Source organism: Homo sapiens, chromosome 2, assembly GCF_000001405.40.
Source record: "Homo sapiens chromosome 2, GRCh38.p14 Primary Assembly".
NCBI lineage: Eukaryota > Metazoa > Chordata > Mammalia > Primates > Hominidae > Homo > Homo sapiens.
This window is the reverse complement of record NC_000002.12, coordinates 101,488,552-101,512,437: the sequence shown is the minus strand read 5'-3', so window position 1 is coordinate 101,512,437 and position 23,886 is coordinate 101,488,552. Positions and strand designations below refer to the sequence as shown.

The 23,886-nt window shown below is 43.5% G+C and overlaps 1 pseudogene; it reads left to right on the top strand.

The window, feature by feature from the left end:
* RPS6P3 (ribosomal protein S6 pseudogene 3) lies at window positions 2,095–2,917 on the top strand (annotated as a pseudogene).

Below are 23,886 nucleotides of genomic sequence, written 5' to 3'. Positions count from 1 at the left end.
TCTTCTATAGGTTTTCTGATAAAATTCTTAGTAAGACAACCAGCTAGAATCCACTAGGAATCACTAGCAAGAGGCTGCAAAGTTTTGTCTAAAATGAACACCTAATTGATTGAATACTACTTCAACCAAAATGGGGCCATGGAGATTGTCATCTGTCTTAGTCTGCTCAGGATGCTATAACAAATACTATAGACTGTGTGGCTTAAACAACAGAAATTTATTTCTCACAGTTCTGGAGGCTGGAAGTCCAAGATTAAAGTGCTGGCTGATTGGGTTGCTGGTGAAGCCTCTCTTCCTGGCTTGCAGATGGCCGTCTTCTCACTATGTTCTACATGACAGAGAAAGAGTGCACTCTGGTCTCTTCCTCTTCTTATAAGGACACCAGCCTCAAGATTATGAATTTGGAGGGGACACAAGCATCCAGTCCATAGCACCGTCATCTACCTCTGGGCTGGCATGTGATTTCAGACCTTTTGAAGGAGGTGTTATTTTTATTTTATTTTTTAGAGGAGCTTTTTTTAAAAAATTTCAACTTTTATTTTAGATTAAGGGGGTACACATGCAGGATTGTTACATGGGTATATTGCATGATGCTGATGTTTGGGGCATGATTGATCCCATCACCCAGGTAGTGAGCATAGTACCCGATAGCTAATTTTTCAACTTTCACTCCTCTCCATCCCTCCTCCCTCTGTAGTCCCCAGTGACTTATAAATGAGAACATGTGCTATTTGGTTTTCTGTTCCTGTATTAATTCACTTAGGGTAATAGCCTCCAGCTGCATCCATGTTGCTGCAAAGAACATGATTTCATTGTTTTTTTTTTGTATGGCTGAGTAGTATTCCATGGTGTATACAACACATTTTCTTTATCCAATGCAGATGTACTATTTTAGACTTGCATAGCTGGAAAGGACCTTGGAGATCTCACAGGTCTCCAAGACAGCCGGGTTCTCAGAGCTGCTTCTGTACTCTGCCAGTGGCAATATCACACTTTGGGTTTCCCATTCTGAGCACATTCTTCCTTGCTGTGTGATATGGTTAGGCTTTGTGTCCCCACCCAAATCTCATCTTGAAATGTAATCCCCAGGTGTTGAGGGAGAGACCTGGTGGGAGGTGATTGGATCATGGGGGCAGTTTCCCCCTGGCTGTTCTCGTTATAGTGAGGGAGTTCTCACGACATATGATGGTTGTATAAATGGTGGTTTTTCCTGGGCTTTTCACTCTCTCTTTCTCCTGCCACCATGTGAAGAAGGTCCTTGCTTCGCCTTCCGCCATGGTTGTAAGTTTCCTGAGGCCTCCCAAGCCACGTGGATCTGTGAGTCAATTAAACCTCTTTCCTTTGTAAATTACCCAGTCTCAGGAATTTCTTTATAGCAGTGTGAGGACAGGCTAATACACTGTGTTTCTTCTAATTAACTAATCACACTGGACAATCAAGGGTCATTTTCCCACTTGCTTCAGGGACCATGGAGCAAGCTCCAGAGTGTCAGAGGGCCTGGGGCAAGCTCGCCACCCCTCACACAGCACAGGGCCACAGCACATTTGTATTCAGAGATACAGTGGCCACATTTATTGGTATTTCTGTCACAATTCAGCTTCAAGGCAGAGTTGTGGTTTGTCAGTTATATGTAGTTTGAAGGCATTTTCCATTTAGTTTATAGATGTGTGTCTCAAATCTGTGAAACTGGTGACCCCTGAGATATATCCCTGGACTCCTAGTTTGAGAGACCCTTTGTTAAAAGTTAAGTGCTGTATCTCCCAGTGACAACTGTACCAACGTGTTCCAGTAACATACAAAGATGCAAACTGTCAATGAAATCTTTGGGCAATGCCTGGTTTTCCAAATAATCCTGAGTATGTTGTGTATTCAGTCTTTTTGTGATTACTGTCCATATAACAATAATAATAATGGATAACATTTGTGTCTGTTTTTCCCCTTTTGGGTTCTTATGGCTGATCCCAAAGAATGAAGAGCCCACATGGCCCAGCTTTTATATGAATCCCTCAAAAAGCACAAAAAAGGAGTCCAATTTTATAACCTACACCAACAATTCTCAAACGTTTTGGTCTCACTCTTTAAAATTATTGAGGGCTCTTTTTAGAGGCACCTCAGAGGCAATCAGCCACTTCAAGATGAAGCTGAATGTCTCCTTTCTAGCTGTCGGCTGCCAGAAGCTCCTTGAAGTGGATGAGGAATGCAAACTTTGTATTTTTTTATGAGAAGTATACAGCCACAGAAGTTGTTGCTGACACTCTGAGTGAAGAATGGAAAGGTTCTGTGATGGGAATCAGCGACAGGAACGACAAACAAGCTTTCCCATGAAGCAGGGTGTTTGACTCATGGCTGGGTCTGTGTACTACTGAGCAAGGGGCATTCCTGTTACAGAGCAAGGAGAACTGGGGCAAGAAGCACGAAGCTGTTTGCAGTTGCATTGTGGATGCCAATCCAAGCTTTCTAAACTTCGTTATTATGAAAAAAAAAAAGAGGATAGAAGGATATTCCTGGACTGACTGATACTGTGGAGCATCATCGCCTGGGGCCCAAAAGAGCTAGCAGAATCCACAAACTTTTCAGTTTCTCTAAAGAAGATAGTGTCCACCAATCTGTTGTTAAGAAAGCCCTTAAAGAAGGCAAAAAACCTGGGACCAAAGCACCCAAGATTCAGCTTCTTGTTACTCCATGTGTCTTGCAACACAAATGCTGGCGTATTGCTCTGAAGAAACAGTGTACTAAGAAAAATGAGGAAGAGGCTGCAAAATACGCTGAACTTTTGGCCAAGAGAATGAAGGAGGCCAAAGACAAACTCCAGGAACAGATTGCCAAGAGATGCACACTGTCCTCTCTGTGAGATTCAACTTCTGAGTCCAGCCAAAATTAGGATTCTTTTAAGTAACCAATAAATAAGACTAGACTCCCAAAAATAAAATAAAATAAAATTGAGGAACTCGAGAGTTTTTGTGTATGTGCCCTCCATCTAATGCTATTTACTTTATGATATGGTTTGGCTGTGTCCCCACCTAAATCTCATCTTGAATTGTAGCTCCCGTAATTTCCACGTGTTGGAATTATGGGAGGGATCCAGTGGGAGATAAATGAATCATAGGGGCAGTTTCCCCCATACTGTTCTTGAGGTAGTGATAAGTCTCATGAGATCTGATGTTTTATAAGGGCTTTCCCCTTTCTCTCTTGCCTGCCGCCATGTGAGACGTCCCTTCCTTCTACCACGATTGTGAGACCTCCTCTACCACGTGGAACTGTGAGCCCATTAAACCTCTTTTTCTTTATAAATTAACTAGTCTCTGGTATGTCTTGATAAAGCAGCGTGAAAACAGACTAATATACTCTGTTAGAAATTAGAGCTGAGAATTTAAAAATTATCTTTATTAATTCACTTTAAAAACAATAAATCCATTGGTTAAGATAAGTGACACTTTTTATTGAAAAAAGGCTGTATTAAAAAAACTTTAACAGGAAGAGTAGACTTGTTTTACATTTTTGCAAATCTTTTTAATGTCTGGCTTAATAGAAGACAGCTGGGTTCTCCGAGCTGCTTCTGTACTCCGCCAGTGGCAATATCACACATCGGATGGTTTCTAGTACACTCCACTGTGCGAGTATGAGGGAGGGAGTAAAAAAGGCAGATAATAGCTTCCTGTCATGGTGAAAATACTTGCAGGCATGCAGGTGCCCTGAAGGGTCCCAGGGACACACAATCTTCAACACACCTTGAAAACCACTGACCCAGCCTCTCTTCAAATGCCTTTTCCTTTTCTTTCTGATTCTCTCTCCTCTGAGACCGCTCTGGGGTTCTCACTGTGAGACCATGCTTCCATCAATCCAACAGCCAGTGGGGCAATATTTTCTCATGTCTCTACATCCTCCCACACTCTCTGCACTGAGAAACTCTACTTAGCCTTTTTCTGGCTTCTTCTTATTTTATTTATTTATTTATTTAGTGCTTCTGCTATCACTCAGATGGTCACCCAGTCCTTCTCCACTTCCATTCACCTCTCCCGTCCCCTCATCTTTATCTTTCCTCCCATTCTGTGTCACAAAAAGTCCACAAACTGGGTGAAAAAGGCAGCTCTTTATTTAAAGTAGAGGAGAGGTCAGAGATGGTGGCTCAAACCTATAATCCCAACACTTTGAGAGCCTGCGACCAGCTTGGGCAACATAGTGAGACCCTGTCTCTACGAAAAATAGAAAAAAAAATTAGCTGGGTGTGGTGGTGCGTATCTGTAGTCCCAGCTACTTGGGAGGCTGAGGTGGGAGGATCTATTGAGCCCAGGAGTTAGAGGCTGCAGTGAGCTGCGATCACACCACTGCACTCCAGCCTTGGCGACACAGCAAGGCCCTTACTCTAATAAATAAATATAGGAGAGGAGAGCAGAGTAGAAGCTGAGCAGGCAGACATTGAACTCCCTTAGGGGAGAAAAAGGGAGGTAACAATTTAATCAGTTTCCTTTCTGTCAAAAGGCTAAGCCCTAAGTGGTCTGAATCCTAATAAAACAATGGGTTGGACATGGTGGCTCACGCCTATAATCCCAGCACTTTGGGAGGCTCAGGCGGGCAGATCACCTGAGGTCAGGAGTTTGAGACCAGCCTGGTCAACATGGCAAAACCCTGTCTTTACTAAGAATACAAAAATTAGCCAGGTGGGCCGGGCACGGTGGCTCACGCCTGTAATCCCAGCACTCTGGGAGGCCGAGGCAGGCGGATGACGAGGTCAGGAGATCGAGACCATCCTGGCTAATACGGTGAAACCCTGTCTCTACAAAAAATACAAAAAATTAGCTGGCCATGGTGGCGGGTGCCTGTAGTCCCAGCTACTTGGAAGGCTGAGGCAGGAGAATGGTGTGAACCTGGGAGGCAGAGCTTGCAGTGAGCCGAGATTGCTCCACTGCACTCCAGCCTGGGCGACAGAGCGAGACTCCATCTCAAAAAAAAAAAAAAAAAAAAAGACTAATAAAATACTGCTCTATTAAATCCCCCCAGGGTACCCTGTGTGTACCCCTATCATGTTCCCTGCCTCTCACATCCCGTTGTTCTTGCCTACTGGTCTCCCCCACCCTGGCTGGACTGTCACACAGTGCCTGGGGCCATAAGTATTGAATAATGCATGGACGCACCCAAGAGCAAATATGAGAGAGATGGGGGTTTCCCCTTTGTGGTTATTTCACTGCGTCTTCACCTATGGGCCCCCATTTCAGCCCCTGGAGTCTAGGACCCAAGTCTAATTTACCACTGCACCCCTGTGCACAGTGCCTGGCACATGGCAGGTGTTTAGTCAATGTCCACTGAACGACGAGGAACACACCTGTTTGAAGGCCTCAGCCTTAGCGTCAATATCACCTGAACAGAATATCAGTGGCTGCCTCATTTTCCCCTTGGTTGCACACCACAAAATTAAAATTTATAACTTCTGTGCCCCAAATTGTGAATGTGCTGTTGGTTTTGCTGCAAACAAAGTAAATGAAGAATTTTGCTTTGGCCCTGTCTTCTTTGAGGCCAAAGTCATTAAAACATCTGTTCCTACACATGGAGGTTCTAGGCAAGATTTGAGCAGATAATGATGCAGAAAACATCTGTATCATAAGAAGAATTTGAGAAAGATGAGGGGAAAGAGGTTGAATTTATAGTGGCTTAAATAAAAGAATATTTCCCCATCCCACTACTCCCCCTCCTCGTTTATGATAAAAACCAGACGGCTGAACCGAGTGCCACTGAAGGCTGGGACCCCAGTCCGAGGGAACTGACACTTGGATGGGCAAATGGTGTCTCAGGTAGCCATCGGAGGGCCTGGGGGCCCCATGCAGATGTTGGGGGGCTGTCTGTGCTTTTGCACACATCTGCCTCCCTCATAAGGGCCAGGTGGGCCTTGGCTCCCACTTCTGCATCACAGGGGCAGAGTGAAGCCGAGTGGGTGCTGGGAATGAAGCCCAGCTGAGCCCCCAGGCCTTCCTTCCCCATCCTCCTCTTCCACCCAGTGATAAAAGATGCCCCCAAATCAGATTAAAATGACATGTTTTGGTGGTTCCTATAACTTGAAGGATGTTGCTCTATCTACTTTCCTGAAAGTTGTCATCTCTGTGAAGCCCCAGATGAACTTGGACGTTATGTCTGTCTTCGCTCTTTGAGGCGGGGCCCACTGTATTCTGGGGTGAGCTCCATTATCCCACCTTTGCCAAAGTACACAGCAAGGGTCAAGTAGAGGCCTCTGGCCTTAAGTAGCACCTTCTGAGTCCCCTTTCCTGCAGGTCTGAGTGGCCAAAAAGAACCTTGGTACTTACGTTATTCATTTCTTTATTGCTGGCTTTCATTGGGTTGCTGTTGAGGGAGCTTTGTCAAATGAGTTCAGAGCTAGGTTTATTTGCAAACTTATTTATTTACGCTTATTTTAACTTACATATTACTTACTTTAAACTCCCCCAACCATCTCTGTGCCTTTTTTAATTCCATTTAAAAAATGTTAGGCTGGGTGCGGTGGCTCATGCCTAATCCTAGAACTTTGGGAGGCCAAGGTGGGAGGATCACTTGAACCCAGGCGTCTGAGACCAGCCTGGGCAATATAGCAAGGCCCCATCTCTAGAAAAATTAACAATAATTAGCCGGGCATGGTGGCACACACTTGTGGTCCCAGCTACTCAGGAGGCTGAGGTGGGAGGATCGCTTGAGCCCACTGGGTGAGAGGTGATTGCATGACTGCACTCCAGCCTGGGAGAGGGAGATTCTGTCTCAAAAATAAATAAATATATAAATAAATAAATAAATAAAGGATGCAAGATGAGATGCTCATTAGTAAAGAGTCTGGAGATGAGGCGTGGTGGGTGTGGGACCCCCAGGGCCAGTGTTATTATTATTTTTTTGGAGGAGGAAGTGTAGTACTCTAGGCTGTTCATCATTATCTCAAGAAGGATGGACCACAAATCTTTCTGCTTCCCTTCAAGCCACTAGTTTCATGGTCTGAGGATAATGCAGAAGTAAGGAAATGAAGGGAAACGAGAAAAGGGAACAGGAGTGTGATATTCCCCTTCCTGTGTCCATGTGATCTCATTGTTCAATTCCCACCTATGAGTGAGAATATGCGGTGTTTGGTTTTTTGTTCTTGCGATAGTTTACTGAGAATGATGGTTTACAGTTTCATCCATGTCCCTACAAAGGACATGAACTCATCATTTTTTATGGCTGCATAGTATTCCATGGTGTATATGTGCCACATTTTCTTAATCCAGTCTATCATTGTTGGACATTTGGGTTGGTTCCAAGTCTTTGCTATTGTGAATAGTGCCGCAATAAACGGGAGGGGGGAGGGATAGCATTGGGAGATATACCTAATGCTAGATGACACGTTAGTGGGTGCAGCGCACCAGCATGGCACATGTATACATATGTAACTAACCTGCACAATGTGCACATGTACCCTAAAACTTAGAGTATAATAAAAAAAAAAAAATTAAAAAAAAAAAATAAATAAATAAATAAATAAATAAATAAATAAATAAATAAAAGAACAGGAAGCCTTTCCCTCGGATTAAAAGGAGGTGAGGAGGTGAGGAGGTGGGAGGAGAAACTGGGAGAAAACCAGAGCGCCCCTGGCCACTCGGGAGAGAGGGAGAGGCTCTGTGGCCTGCTACTGAGGGGAGCCGAGTGCCTGATGCTGGCAGTGGGCTGAGCAGGGCTCACTCCATGCGGGGAGTCAGTCGGTCCAGCAGGGCCTTCCCCAGGTGTACACAGCTACCTCAGACCCAGGAACGAGGCTTCCAGCCCCAGCCCCAGCCCACACCAGGAATTCTCCCACCCAGGACTTCTCCAGCCTCAGCATGCATCAAAATCACTGCAAGGGTTTGTTGAAACACAGTGGGCTGGGCCCCACACCCCGGAATTTTTATTTTTTTATTTTGAGACAGAGTTTCACTCGTGATGCCGAGGCTGGAGTGCAATGTCGCTATCTTGGCTCACTGCAACCTCCACCTCCTGGATTCAAGTGATTCTCCTGCCTCAGCCTCCCAATTGTCCCAAGTAGCTGGGATTACAGGCGTGCGCCACTATGCCCAGCTAATTTTTTTGTATTTCTAGTAGAGATGGGGTTTCGCCATGTTGGCCAGGCTGGTCTTGAACTCCTGACCTCAGGTGATCTGCCCACCATGGCCTCCCAAAGTTATGGGATTACAGGCATGAGCCACCACACCCAGGCAATCCCCAGAATTTTGAACTCAGGTGTAGTTGGGTCCCAGTCAAGCTGGAGTAGATACAGCCTGAGAATATGCATTTCTTTCTTTTTCTTTTCTTTTCTTTCTTTCTTTCTTTTTTTTTTTTTTTTGAGACAGAGTTTTGCTCTCGTTGCCCAGGCTGGAGTGCAATGGCGTGATCTCGGGTCACCCCAATCACCACCTCCCAGGTTCAAGCAATTCTCCTGCCTCAGCCTCCCAAGTAGCTGGGATTACAGGCAGGTGCCACCACGCCTGGCTAATTTTTTTTGTATTTTTAGTAGAGATGGGGTTTCTCTACGTTGGTCAGGCTGATCTCGAACTCTCTCGACTTCAGGTGATCCACCCGCCTCAGCCTCCCAAAGTGCTAGGATTACAGGCATGAGCCACCGCACCCGGCCGAGAACGTGCATTTCAAATGCCTGAGAATGTGCATTTTTAAGTCCCTGGTGATAGTCACGCTGCTGGTATGAAGAGCACACTTTGAAAACCATGTTGCAGCTCCCCAACCTCACAGTTGCCTGTGTACCTGTTTCGACCACCAGATTTTGCCTGGTTCCCATCGTATCACCCATGTGAACCTCCCCTCACATCTCTATGCCTCTTCTCCTGGGCATCTCAAGGAGTGTTGAGGACAGAACCCTCTTTCTCCACCTGCTCTTGGGGTGGGGCTGAAGCAGTTTAAGAACATCCCCCTGGGCAACAAGCATTAGTTCAGCACTTACCAGCACTTATTATTTTTTTTTTTTTTTTTGGAGAAGGAAGCTGTTTCTGTTTATTCAAAATAAAACTTTTGCAGTTGCCCATCAAAGCTTTATATGGTTTGCATTAAATGCTGAAGATTCAATCCATATATACAAGCTTTGAGCACTTGTATTATATTAAAATAATAAAATGTGCCATTTTAACCACTTAAAATGTACACTTAAAATCGTACACCTTAAAAGTGTACAATTCTGCTGGGCGCAGTGGCTCACCCCTGTAATCGCAGCACTTTGGGAGGCTGAGGCGGGTGAATTACCTGAGGTCAGGAGTTCGAGACCAGCCTGGCCAACATGGTGAAAACTTGTCTCCACTAAAAATACAAAAATTAGCCAGGCCAGGTGGCACGTGCCTGTAGTCCCAGCTACTCAGGAGACTGAGGCAGGAGAATTGCTTGAACCCAGGAGGCAGAGGTTACAATGAGCCAGGATTGCACCACTGCACTCCAGCCTGGGCAACAGAGTGAGACTCCATCTCAAAAAAAAGAAAAAAAAACGTGTACAATTCAGTGATATTCAGTACATTGCATTCACAATGTTACGTAGCCACCATCTCTATCTAGTTCCAAAACATTTTCCAAAGTAAAACTTACTTAGTAAGTAGCTTCTTCCCATTCCCCCTTTCCCTAGCCTCTGACAACCATTCACCTACTTTCTGTCTGTATGGATTTATCTCTTCTGAATATATCACATACAAGGAAGCATACAATATGTGGCTTCTTATGTCTGGCTTATTTCATTTGGTTTAATGTTTCTAAGGTTAATCTGAGCGTCAGCGCTCCATTCCTTTGCATGGCTGAGTAGTATTCTATCACCTGGATAGACCCATTGCTTGTTATTTTGAAGCCCGCACTTGACCCTACCTGCCTACCTGCCGGCCTTCCTGTCTCTCTTCTCTTCCAGGACAGAAACTCCCTGTGCTATTCCCGGCATCTAGAAGAATACTTAAGATCTAGCAGGCGCTCTTAAATATTTGCAACCTGGCTGGCCAGCTGACTTCCTTTCCCTCCTTCACTCTTCTGCTTCCATCCAATATTTCTTCAGCAGAAAGTAACTGACCACCTGAGGGTGGAGACCCGGGCTGGCTGCATTCAGGCCCTTCTTCCAGTGAGCTAACAGTACAAGGTGGCAGGAAATGGGGCACTTTCATTTTCAAAGCCCCAGCTTCTTTCCCCTGTGCTTACAGGCATTTGGCGGCCTGTCTGGAGGGGGCTGGAGATAAGAGGGATGTACACATGAGGCAAGATGGTTCGGTACTCAGCTATGCCTAAAGGTGCACCGGGTAGCCTGTGGCCACGTGGTTGGCAGGCTGGGCTGGAGAGGTACTGGGAATACAGGTTGCAGTGAGTAGAGTCCTCCCTGGCTGCTCCTGGGTGTGGGCAGCATCTCAGCCCTTCAGCGGATCTTCCTAACATCCTTCCTCACCACTGCCAGACCCTTGACATCTCAACGCCTCTTGGAGCTGGAGCTTCTCATAACCTTGGGGCAATAAAAGCCTATTCTCCTTCTGGCTATTTTACTCAAGTACTTTGTCTGTGCCCAAAACCAGGACACTCCTTTGTCTCCCATTGCCTAATCAAGTCCATCCCCAGGGAAACACACACAGAACAGCCTCTATTTGAAGGGGGATTTTTGCATAATGTTCTAAAACATTAAACTGCTTCAAGGGCCTTTCGTGGGTAATATTCTGGAATAATATGGTGGCTAGGATCAAGTCCCTGTCCCTCAGAAGCTATGTGAACTGGGCTGTGGATCTGTCATGTGTCATGACCACCTGTCTGTTCATTTTTTCCATAACCACGACTGTAAGATCAGCTTACCATCCACCTGACCACAAGCCTGACTGTTTGGCTCTGATCATTGAATGAGACACGTTTTCTTGAGAGCTAACAGACAGCTATAGCCTCCTAGCCCAAGCAGATTATTTTCAAACTTATCTCAAGTGACATGATTTCAGTAGGTGCAGCACAGAAGCATTTGAAATGCACTTTGTGAAATAATGTGAAAGCTACTTCTGCAAATAGACTAAAAAGGAGAAATCTCTCTTTTAAAAAGCAATATACGTTTTCATTTTGCCACTTACGGATGCATGAGAATGGCTTTCAGAAATATTTTTTTCCAAAGGGTACAATATGCCTTGCATCCAAGGTGGCTCTTTGATTTTGGTAATAAAAAGTGATTACAGTGGCCTATTAATTTACAGAGACTAATTCAAGCCTGGGGATACAGTCTAGAATTTTGTAGGCAGTTACCAACAGCTGCAAAAAGCCCCGTGAATCCTGGTCCCAAGTGGAGTCATCATAAAAATTACAGCAATGGAATCTGCAAGGATTAAGGAGTAGCGATGATAAAACAGCAGCCAGACTAATTTTGGCTGCAGAAATGCATCATGTGAGTGACTGGGCTTCCTGGATTTAACTTCAACCCGAGAAATCATTGCGAGCACCCATTATGTGCCAGGGATATACATGGACTGAGAAATACAAAATGGTCATGATAAGCTCAGTCACGCCCATTGAAAGCACCTCCCTTTTAGAAGCACAGTTGAAGGAATGACTTTTACCAGGGGTTGGGAAAGTTCCTTGGAAGAAATGACATAAGGCAAGGAGAAAAGGAGGGAGGAATCCCAGAAATGGAGGCTTTCTAGCTTGGATATGGGGGCAGGTGAAACTGGAACAAAATAAGACCTCAGGGGGAGGATTGGGAGGGAGGCAGAGGCTGTGTTTGAACACCTGACATTTGAGATGCCTGCAGAATTTGCACTTGGCTTTGGAGAATATGACAACAACAGTGACAATATATTTTATGTTTTCAGTTCTGCTGATTTTTTTTTAAGACTTCAAACTCATACTGCATGACACACTCTTTTAAAGGCAGATTGCTAATCTTTTATAGCAACTTGAGTTCCTCTTAAATTATCCTTGGCTATAGACTTGGATTTGTATGAACTCAGGATTGTCTTTGTCTTCTCATCCCATGCTGGGGGGAACCCAGATAATTTCTGGTCACAGCTGCAGATCTGTGGTTGTAAGTGATCTCTTGGAAAATAGCCGTAAAGTTGCTGAAATTATCCTTTTAAATTTTTTATTTCATTTCATGACATAAAATACTTTAGCTTTGTTCTTGTGGCTAGATCTCAATTCCTGGCATTTCCCCAACCATGCTGTATTATCAAAGAGCTTCATGAATTTTTAAACAAAGTGAGCCTACTTTCCAGAGCCTTTCTTTTTCCAGGGACTTCAACTTTTTAAAGATCAGTTACACTCGCAGAAAAATCCAGAATGAATGAAAACTGTTGCTTCTACCACCCACTGCAGCACATAGATTTTTTTAAGTTCTCTTCTAAATACTTACTTGGAAATTACTCTGGTAGGGTCATTCTTTTTTCTTAGCTCACCATTGCTTATTACAATGTAATTGATTTTTCTTTGCAAATCTAAATTTGTTGCTGTTTAATAATTACCCAACTTCCAGAATGTAGATAAGGATGTACCATCAGTCCCTATCTTTTAAGAAATTATTTTTTAAACTATGCAATTATTTTAGCCTGTATTAGGATCATAAATGGTATTTTAAAAGATTACTACATAAAACATGTAAGACTTGTATATGGCAAACATTCACCCAAATAATGAATGAATGAATGAATAAATAAATAAATAAAACAATCAAGTGATCAAAGGAAAAGCAGGGGAAAATATTTGCAAAATATCCTATTGAAATTGTTAATATCCAAATTACAATCCTTACTACAGAAAGAGCTGTTGTGGGCCAGGTGTGATGGTTCATGCCTGTAATCCCAGCACTTGGGAGGCCAAGACCGGTGGATTGCTTGAGCCTGTGAGTTCAAGTCCAGCCTTGGCAACACGGAGAGACCATCTCTAAATTTTAAAAAAGAAAGGGCTCTTGTGAACCAACAAGAAAAGAAAGGTAAAGAATATTATTAATGAATTCACGAAAGAAATTTAAAAATGTATAAAACATATGGAAAAGATAAACAATTTTAGTAATAATCGAAGAAATCGAAATAAAAATTCACTCATTAGATTAGCAACAATTTTTTAAAAATTGGTTTAAGAAACAAAGCACAAACAACTAGTGTTGACTGGTCTATGGGAAAACAAGCAGGTATTTGAAAACACTGTGTGTGACAGGAAAAACAGAAACAGCCTTTCTGTAATGCAACTTGACAGTATCTATTAAAAATTTAAACACACATGCTGCTTTAACCAGTGATTTCATTTCTAGAAAAATTTGCTAAGAAGGCTGGGCGCAGTGGCTCATGCCTGTAATCCCAGCACTGTGGGAGGCCGAGGCAGGTGGATCACTTGAGGCCAGGAGTTCAAGACCAGCCTGGCCAACATGGGGAAACCCTGTCTCTACTAAAAATACAAAAATTAGCCAGGCATGGTGGCGCATGCCTGCACTCACAGCTATTGGGAGGCTGAAGCAGGAGAATTGCTTGAACCCCAGAGGCGGAGGTTGCAGTGAGCTGAGATCACACCATTGTACTCTAGCTTGTGCGACAGAGTGAGACCCTGTCTCAAAACAAAAAAAAAAAAAGGAAACTTTGCTAAGAAAATCACCATCTACTTGTGCAGAGAACTCTGTAGAATTTTATCCACTGCTCTCTTGTTTACAGTGGGGAAAGGGATAAGATCTCCTGTTTGTTTAGTAACAAAATATATTTTCTTTATAATAATAATAAAGCTATTACAATTAGGGGAAACATGAAGGATATGACTGAAGTTTTCCAAAAATGGACGATAGAATATTTTCCCTTTATATACCATGGAGAAAAGCACTAGTAGCTTATGAATTTGACATAATTTGGGGAACCTGGAAATGACTTAGCACTGGAGTGTGTCCAGCCAACATTAAGGTCAGACAAAGATCACTTTCAGTCAGCACAGTGTTAATAGCTAAGAAAGCTGAGCCTCAGTTAGATCTATTGTCAAAGAAGACAGAATCTTTTTCTTTCTTTTTTTTTTTGAGATGGAGTCTCGCACTCTGTCACGCTGGCTGGAGGGCAGTGGTGAGATCTCGGCTCACTGCAACCTTTGCCTCCCGGGTTCAAGAGATTCTCATGCCTCAGCCTCCTGAGAAGCTGGGCTTACAGGTGCCCACCATCACACCTGGCTAATTTTTTTATTTTTAGTAGAGACAGGGTTTCACCATGTTGGTCAGGCTGGTCTTGAACTACTGACCTCAAGGGATCCGCCTGCCTTGGCCTCCCAAAGTACTGGGATTACAGGTGAGAGCCACTGCGCCTAGCCTACATACTTAATTTTACATTTTTGGAGTGCTGTTGTGCGACTCAGCTCACTGCAAGAGTAGATTAGAAAACAATTTCTCTCTGGTAAAGAAAGTTACCCTAAAGCTTACAGTTTTCTTTTCCTGTTTAGGACATTAATCAATTTTGGACAGTAACCATCTCCTGCTAAAAACAATTCATATGTTGAAATCCTAACCCTTACTTCCTCAGAATGCATTTGGAAATAGGGCCTTTGAAGAGGTGATTAAGTTAAAATGGGGTCATTAGGGTGGGCCCTAATCCAATATGACTGCTGTCCTCATAAGAAGAGACTAGGACACAGACACACACAGAGGGAAGACCACGTGAAGACAAAAGGGAGGCCAGGTGCTGTGGCTCACGCCTGTAATCCCAGCACTTTGGGAGCATTGCTTGAGCCCAGGAGTTCAAGACCTGTTGAGACACCATACTGAGACCCTGCCTTTACAAAAAATTAAAAATAAAAAATTACCCAGGCATGGTGGTATACACCTGTAGTCCCAGCTACCCCAGAGACTGAGGTGGGAGGATTGCTTGAGCCCGGGAGGTGGAGGCTGCAGTGAGCTATGATTGTGCCACTGCACTCTAGCCTGGGTGACAGGGCAAGACCCTGTCCCAAAATAAAAACAAAAACAATAAAAAAGGGAAAAGGTAGACATCTGTAAGCCAAGGAAAGAAGTTTCAGAAAGAACCAACTCTGCCAACACCATGATCTCAGACTTCCAGCCTCTAGAACTATGAGATAATAAATTTATCTTGTTTAAATCACTCACTGCAGTACTTTGTTATGGCAACCCGAGTAACTAATACTCTTAGCTAAGTCATTTCAGCATGCCTTTCCTGACTAAATACATTCTTGAATTCTACTTTGAAACAGCTTTAATGTCCTGTTGAATCTCTCAACTAGTGTTTGTATGTAAGTCATGTTTTTAGCCTTTTGAACATTGAACTTTGACATGAAAAAAAATGTTAAGGCCAGGCGTGGTGGCTCACGCCTGTACTCCCAGCACTTTGGGAGGCCAAAGTGTGGGTGGATCACTTGAGGCCCAGTAGGTTGAGACCAGCCTGGCCAACATGGTGAAACCCCGTCTCTACTAAAAATACAAAAATTAGCCGGGCATGGTAGCACATGCCTGTAGTCCCAGTTACTCTGGAGGCTGAGGCAGGAGAATCACTTGAACCCGGGAGGCGGAGGTTGCAGTGAGCCGAGATGGTGCCACTGCACTCCAGCCAGGGCAAGAGAGTGAGACTCCATCTCAAAAAAAAAAAAATTTTTTTAAATCTTGTTTTCCTCGTATTGGACATTTATTAAATCTGAGTACACATTTCCAAATGTTCTTTTGTTAATTCTTTTGCTATCTGGGATATCAATCAATATGTTGTGAGCCAACAATGCTCATCAGCTTTAATTTGATCTTCTTTTGTTTTTAGCATCCCACAGGGACTTCAGTTACAGTACTCTATGGCTAGTTACCTTCCAACTTACTTAGATAATTCTCCTTCCTTCTTGATGTTATCTTGGTCAAAGGGAGCTCTCAGAGTTTCGTCAGTGAAGGGCCCAAGCCTCGAAAAGCTTTCTGGATGAAAGGGGGCAGGCAGGCAGAAGAAAGGGAGGTGTTTCCAGGCTTCAGGGAAGTGCCTGGAGAGAAACTGCTTGGGCCTCTGCAGGGTGGAGGGGGTTGTGGCATTAAGTACCCTGTACCAGCATCATTCCACGATATTAGCAGACATAAAATCTAATATAACCCATTTGCAATTCATCTGGGACCGTATCTTTAATCTCACCAGAGTCTGACACTTTAGTCACAGCAAGCTATTTATATACTAAAACAGCTATTCCCCATCACCAGAGTGGATCAAATCTCTTCCATTTACCAAAGAAAGAGAACAGGCCCTCTCTCTGCAACGAGATGGGAGGTAGTTGTTTTTATTAAGAAAAACATGGCCCTGTCGGGCACGGTGGCTCACCCCTGTAATCCCAGCACTTTGAGGGGCTGAAGCGGGCAGATCATGAGGTCAAGAGATCAAGACCATCCTGGCCAGCATGGTGAAACCCCATCACTACTAAAAATACAAAAATTAGCTGGGCATGGTGGCACATGCCTGTAGTCCCAGCTACTCGGGAGGCTGAGGCAGGAGAATCGCTTGAACCTGGGAGGCAGAGGTTGCAGTGAGCCGAGATCGAGCCACTGCACTCCAGCCTGGCAACAGAGGGAGACTCTATCTCAAAAAAAAAAAAGAAAAGAAAAGAAAAACATGGCGGGCACAGTGACTCATGCCTGTAATCTTAGCACTTTGGGAGACCAAGGCGGCCGGATCGTGAGATCAAGAGATCGAGACCATCCTGGCCAACGTGGTGAAACCCCATCTCTACTAAAAATACAAAAATTAGCTGGGAGTAGTGGCGCATGCCTGTAGTCCCAGCTACTAGGGAGGCTGAGGCAGGACAATCACTTGAACCCAAGAGGTGGAAGTTGCAGTGAGCTGAGATCGCACCACTGGACGCCAGCCTGGTGACAGAGTGTGACAACGTCTCAGAAAGGAAAAAGAAAAAAAAAACGTTAGGTGATTTTCTGTAAGGCAAACATGTATTAGCTTATTCAAGACACTAGGCACCAATAAGGAAACACTTCGCCCAGTGAAGAAAATGACATCAGGGTGTTTGGAATAATTAATCAATAGTGAATGAAATAATTAACTTAAAATTTAATAAGTAATTAAGATAATGAACGAATAATGAGTGGATACTCATGGAGAGGCTGGTTGGGAGTGCATGAGGAAAGTGGGAGTCAGTTTGAAGACTACAGCCCTGGCCCCAAGTGCACAGGTCCTGGGAACAGAAGCAGAGAAATTATCACCTTTATTTTCTTTAATCCCCAAGTAGAAATAAATATTCAATAAATGTGTTATTTTTTATTTTCATCCTTGCCAGCAGAAGGTCAATCAATAAATATGTTACATACCTTTGTCTGGAAGATGTTGTGCTGTCTACTGTCCAAGAGTGGTGGCAGCCGGCACAGCTCATTGCTGAGCTTATGGCTCGGGATCATGAGAATGGACAAGCTGTATGTGCGCTGACCACCTGCTCATGCCAGGCACTGACCGGCAGTATCTCACCTTATGGAACCTTCACCAACAGCCCTGAAGAGAAGCTACGTCATCTCCCTTTGGAGGGGAGGAAGTAAAGCTCACAGAGTTAAGAACTCTGCTCACAATTATTTAGAGGCCAAGTCAGGTACAAAATTTCAAGTTGACTCCCAAAGTTCATGCCATACAGGCACCAGTAAGTCTAATATGCATCCTCAGATGAATGATGTGTGTCCTGGAAACAACAGGCATTTTTCTTAACTGTCTAATTTATCTCATAGGCAACAATATTGTAACAATGATTACATAGCATTTTTAAAAATCATAAGCAACAAAAACCTGTCATTGAAATTTGAAGGACAACCAATGTTATCCCTACCTTACTATCTTACAGCCTATGCCTTCTTCCTGTCTGTTTGCTTTCATTTGCAAACATTTCATTTGTTATTTGTTTTCGTTTTTTCCTATATGGGTGTTTCTTGGAGTTATTTTGCTTCTTGACCCTGGCCATGCCTCTGAAACTCTACCTTTGCTGCACTATACAAACTTGATTTTGACATTGTGTAATGTTGAGTGTTCTTCTAATATCTTCCCCAGATCAGGTGGAATGACTCCCTACTAAGAACGCATTCATCAACTAATATTTAGTGAGTTCCTAAAAAGCACATCAGGCACTAACAATAAGGCGTCAGTTCTGAGAATATAAAAAGGAACATAGACTAGGCTCAGTGGCTCACACCTGGAATCCCAACACTTTGGGAGGCTGAGTGGGGAGGATCACTTGAGCCCAGGAGTTTGAGACCAGCTTGGGCAACATGGTGAGACACCCATCTCTACAATAAATACAAAAATAGCCAGGTATAGTGGTGCGCACCTGTAGTCCCAGCTACTTGGGAGGCTGAGGTGGGAGGATCACTTGAGCACAGGAGGTTGAGGCTGCAGTGAGCCATGATCATGCCACTACACTCCAGCCTGGGCAACAGAGTGAGACCCTGTCTCAAAAAAAAAAAAAAAAAAAACAAAAAAAAAAAAACACACACACAGTCCTTGAGCTTAATAAGCTTCAGATCTGGTAAGGAAAGAGAAGTAAACAAATTGAAATCCAGCTGATAGCAACTAAGTAACATAAATTTTTTTTTTTTTTTTTTTTTTTTTTAGAAAACTTACGAACATCCAGGAGTTAATATGACACTGAAATGTTACCAGGCCAAGATCCAGAGAACTGAGTATCTTAGATGATTTTGTGGTGCTATAACAAAATACCTGAGACTGTGCAATTTATTAAAAAAATAGGCATTTATTTCTTACAGTGTGGGAAGCTGAGAAGCCCAAGATGAAGGTGCTGGCAGGTTTGGTGGTCTGGTGAAGGCGGCTGTCTGCTTCCAAGATGGCGCCTTAGTGTTGCCTCCTCTTGAGGGGAGGAGCATTGTGTCCTCACAGATTGGAGGCTGACAGGCAAGCAGCTGAATGCTGTGTGAAGCCTCTTTATAAGAGCACTAATCTCATGAGCAAGAACGTTCATGGTCTGTCACCTCTTAAAGGCCCTGCCTCTTAATACTGTCACATTGGCAACTCCTGAATTTTGGAGGGAACACATTCAAATCATGGTATTCCGCCCTTGGCCCTCCAAAATTTGTGTCCTTCTCACATACAAAACACAACCACATGTCATGTAATGATGGGGATATGTTCTGAGAAACACACTGTTAGGCCATTTCACCACTGAGTGGACATCATAGAGCGTGCTTACACAGACCTAGATAGTACAGCCTACCACACAGCTAGGCCATGTGGTATGGCCGACTGCTCCTAGGCTACAAGCCTGCACAACGTGCTACTGTACTGCATACTGCAGGCAACTGTAACACCATGGCAAATATTTGTGTATCTAAACAACTAAACATAGAAAAGTTACGGTAAAAATATGAGATAAGAGATTAAAACATAGTGCATTGCATACTGCACTTTCCACGAATGGAGCATGCAGGATTAGAAGTTAGTCTGGGTGAGTCAGTGAGTGAATGGTGAGTGAATGTGAAGGCCTAGGACATTGCTGTTTACTACTGTAGACTTTAGAAACACTGTGCACTTAGCCTACACTAAATGTATTCTAAATTTTTTTCTTCAATAGCAAATTAACCTTAGCAAATTTTTTTTTGTATTTTTAGGAGAGACAGGGTTTCACCATGTTGGCCAGGCTGGTCTTGAACCCCTGACTTCAGGTGATCCACCTGCCTCAGCCTCCCAAAGTGCTGGGATTATAGGCGTGAGCCACCGCACCCAGCCACAACATTAAATCTTGAGGCCTGAGAACAATCCTCCCTGACTCGATGTCATGCCTTCTAGATACAGTGTGGGATGGCTGTAGGGCTTCCAAGGCTCCACAGGACCCTAGCCTCAAGGTTTTGCTGGGAGCAGCCCACAATGCAGCTCTCAGCAGTTGGAGTTGGGTACTTGTGACTCCCAGGCTGGCTTTGCACACTGGCAGCTCTACATGTCTGGGGTCTTGGGAACAGCCCTGCCTCCATTGCGTCCACTGAGCATTGCACTAGTGGAGATTCTCTGCAGTGAGCCCACCCTGCAGCAACTTTCAGCTTGGTGCCCAAGGCTGTCCATGACATCCTTTGAAATCTGGTGGGAGAAATCATGCCTCCACAGCTCTTGCATCTGTGCACTTGTGGAGTTAGTGCCACGTGGATGTTGCAAAGGGTTATGGCCTCAGCCTTCGAGAGCGGTGACTCAAGCCACACCTGGACCCACTTGAACACAACTGGGTCAGTTGAGGAGTGCTGCGTAGAAACATGGAGCATGGGGTCCCAAGGTGCCCCTGGGTCGTGAGCCCTGAGGTCCCACAGGCGCCCTGGGCCCCTCCCTTGAAATCTTTCTGCCCTCAAGAGCCTGGCACTCTAGGCCTACGATGGGCAGGCGACATTTTAGGTCTCCACAATGCCTTCAAGGTTGTTCTCCTATTATCTTGATGAATAGTGTCTGGCTTCCTTCTATCCCTACTAATCTCCTTAGCAAAGGTCGCCAGGCCACGCTTTTTTATTCTTTACATGGCCAGGCTGACAGCTTTCTAGATCTTTACATCTTCTTCCCTTTTAATTATCAATCCCATCTTTAAATCCTTTTTCTCTTTTTGCACTCTACTGTAAGCAGTTTAGAGAACACATACAGCCCCTTCAACATTTTGCTGCTTGGAGATTTCTTCCACCAAATATCCTAGTTCATTGCTCTTGAATTCTGCCTTCCACAGACTCCTGGGACATCAACATAATTCTACCAAGTTATTTGTCACTTTGTAACAAGGATGGCCTTTCCTCTAGTGTCCAATACCTTGTTTCTTACTTTCATCAGAAACCTCCTCAAGATGGTCTTTCCTGTTCAAATTTCTTTTTTTTTTTTTCTTTTTCTTTTCTTTTTGAGACAGAGTCTTGCTCTGTCACCCAGGCTGGAGTGCAATGGCACGATCTCGGCTTACTGCAACCTCCGCCTCCCGGGTCCAAGTGATTCTCCCACCTCAGCCTCCTGAGTAGCTGGGACTACAGAGGCCCACCACCACGCCCAGCTAATTTTTTGTATTTTTAGTAGACATGGAGCTTCACCATGTTGGCCAGGCTGATCTTGAACTCCTGACCTCAAGTGATCCGCCCGCCTCGGCCTCCCACAGTGCCAGGATTACAGGCGTGAGCCACCATGCCCAGCCCCCTGTTCCTATTTCTACCAACATTCTGCACACAGCCACTTGAGTAATCTCCAGAAGTTCCAGACTTTCCCTGCAGCTCTCCTCTTCCGAGCCTTCCCCAGTCGCCCTAGATGCTCCATTCATAGCACTCTAGGCTTTTTACGGCATTCACTTCAAAACTGTTCCAGCTCTACCCATTACCCAGTTCCAAAGCTACTTTCACAGTTTTAGGCATTTGCTGCCAGTGAGTTGGTGCCTCACTTCTCTGGTACTAATTTTCTTTGTCTCTTCTTTGCTACTATAACAGAATACCACAGAATGGGTACTTTTTAAAAAACAGAAATTTATATTCTCACAGTTCTGGAAGCTGGGAAATCCAAGATCAAGAAACAAGCAGTTTGGGTTGTCTAGTGAGGGGTGCTCTCAGCTTCCAAAATGGTGCCTAATTTTATATCCTCTAATTGTATATCCTCTGGAGGGGTGGTGCACTGTGTCCTCACATGTAGAAGGCAGAAGGAGAAGCTACCAAAAGCTGTATGAAGGCTGTTTTGTAATGGCTGTAATCCGAAACCCTCATGAATTTTGAAAAGAAAGCTTTTTTTATTTTGTTTTGTTTTTTGTTTTTGTTTTGCTTTGAGACGGGGTCTCCCTCTGTTGTCCAGGCTGGAGTGCAGTGGCTCAGTCGTGGCTCACTGCAACCTCTGCCTCTAGGTCTCAAGTGATTCTCTTGCCTCAGCATCCCAGGTAGTTTGGGCTACAGGCATGCGCCACCATGTCTGGTTAATTTTTGCATTTTTTGTAGAGATGGAGTTTTGCTATGTTGCCCACGCTGGTCTTGAACTCCAGGGCTCAAGTGATTCACCCGCCTCCCAAAGTGCTGGAATTACAAGCGTGAGCCACACGCCTGGCCAAGGGGAAGCATTTACATCCTAGCAATGAACCATACATTTGGAGGGTATGAGGGTGTCTGAGATGGGATTAGCGGTTCAGAGGCTGAGCTGCACTTTTGAGAGCCTTATGAAAATGGGGGTCAAATGTCAGAGTCCAGGGCTGGCTAAGTTTGGGTCCCCTGCTAATTAATCCCCTGCTTAGGCAGAAGCCACAAATGTTTGCTCCTGAGAAGTAAGAGGAAATAAAAAAGAAATCAGTGTTAGCATGGACTACAACCAAATTTTGAGTCCCTTTGGTTACTTAGAAAATCTCTAGCCCTGAAGATAGATTAAGGTGACACTCTATTGGTAGTGCACCAAAGTACCTGACAGAAACAAATGAAAAATTTTTTATAGGAGAAAATAACATTATCCTAAACTTCAAATTATTCCTACAAATAACTTCTCAAACATGATGTCAAGCAAATAATAAAAAATAACTAGGTACCAGCTCCTACTCATTAGGATGGCTACTATTAAAACAAACAGAAAATAACAAATGTTGATGAGGATGTGGAGAAGCTGGGACCCTTATGCACTGTTAGTGAAAATAGAAAATGGTGCAACCACTGTGGAAAACAGGATGGTGGTTCCACTCAAAATTCAAAATAGAATTACTATATGATCCAGCAGTTCTACTTCTGGATATATGCCCAGAAGAATTGAAAGCAAGGTCTCCAAGAGATACAGCTATGCCTATCTTTATAGCATGCTCACAGCAGCATTATTCACAGAAGCTAAAACACGGAAGCAACCCAAGTTTCCATTGACCATAAAATGCACATGCAAAATGTGGCATATACATAAAATAGAACATTGAGGACATTATGGTAAGTGATGGACAAAAATCATACAGTAACAAAAAGACAAATACTGTATGATTTCACTTATGTGAAGTACCTAGAGTAGTCAAATTCATAGAGACAGAAAGTAGAATGGTGGTTGCCAGGGGCTGGGGGAAGGGTGCAATGATGAGTTAATATTTAATGGGTATTGGGTGTGAGTTTTGCAAGATGAAAAGAGTTCTAAAGATGGATGATGGTGATGTTGTACAACAATATGAATATATTTAATACCACTGAATGGTATACTTGAAAATGATTAAGATGGCTAATTTATGTTAGGTGTATTTTACCAGAATAAAAAAATTTGAAAAAATATTTGAAAGAATTACCAGACATACAAGATAGATGATGTTAATGAGAAATAGCAGGAAAAAAAAATCATTAGCAGCATGGACTCCAGATATTGGAAGTGTCAGACACAGACTGTCAAACCACCATGCTGAATATGGTCAAAGAAATAAAAACTCACAAATTTTGGCAGGAAATTGGAAACTTTAAAAAAGAAATCATCATAGCCTAATCACTTATTAAAGACACCCTCACTTAACGTAATCACCTTGGCAACATCTGAATTGCAAAAAAGCAAAATCAAGTGGTTGCCCATGGTTCAGGGGGAGTGGGTGAACGGATGAATAGGTGAAGTATAGGGGCATTTTAGGACAGTGAAACGATTCTTTGTAATTCTGTAACGGTGGCTACATGACATTATGCAAGTGTCAAAACACACAGAACTGTACAACACAAAGAGTGAACCTCACTGTAAACTGTGGGACTTTTAGTTAGTGAACATGTATTAATATTGATTCATTAATTGCAATAAACATGCCACGCTGATGCAAAATGTTAGCAATAGGAGAAACTGTGTGTGGGAGGAGCACATATGGAACATTCTGTATTATTGGCTTAATTTTTTGATAAATCTGAAATCATGAGCTTCAAGTCAAGGTAAGAAAAAATAAAATAAAATAAAATCATTATAAGAAATAAAGTCTACCGATTTTTAAAAAGTAAAATCATCAGTATGAAAAAGGACCAAATAGAAAGTTTAGAAATGAAAAAATACAATATAACAAAGT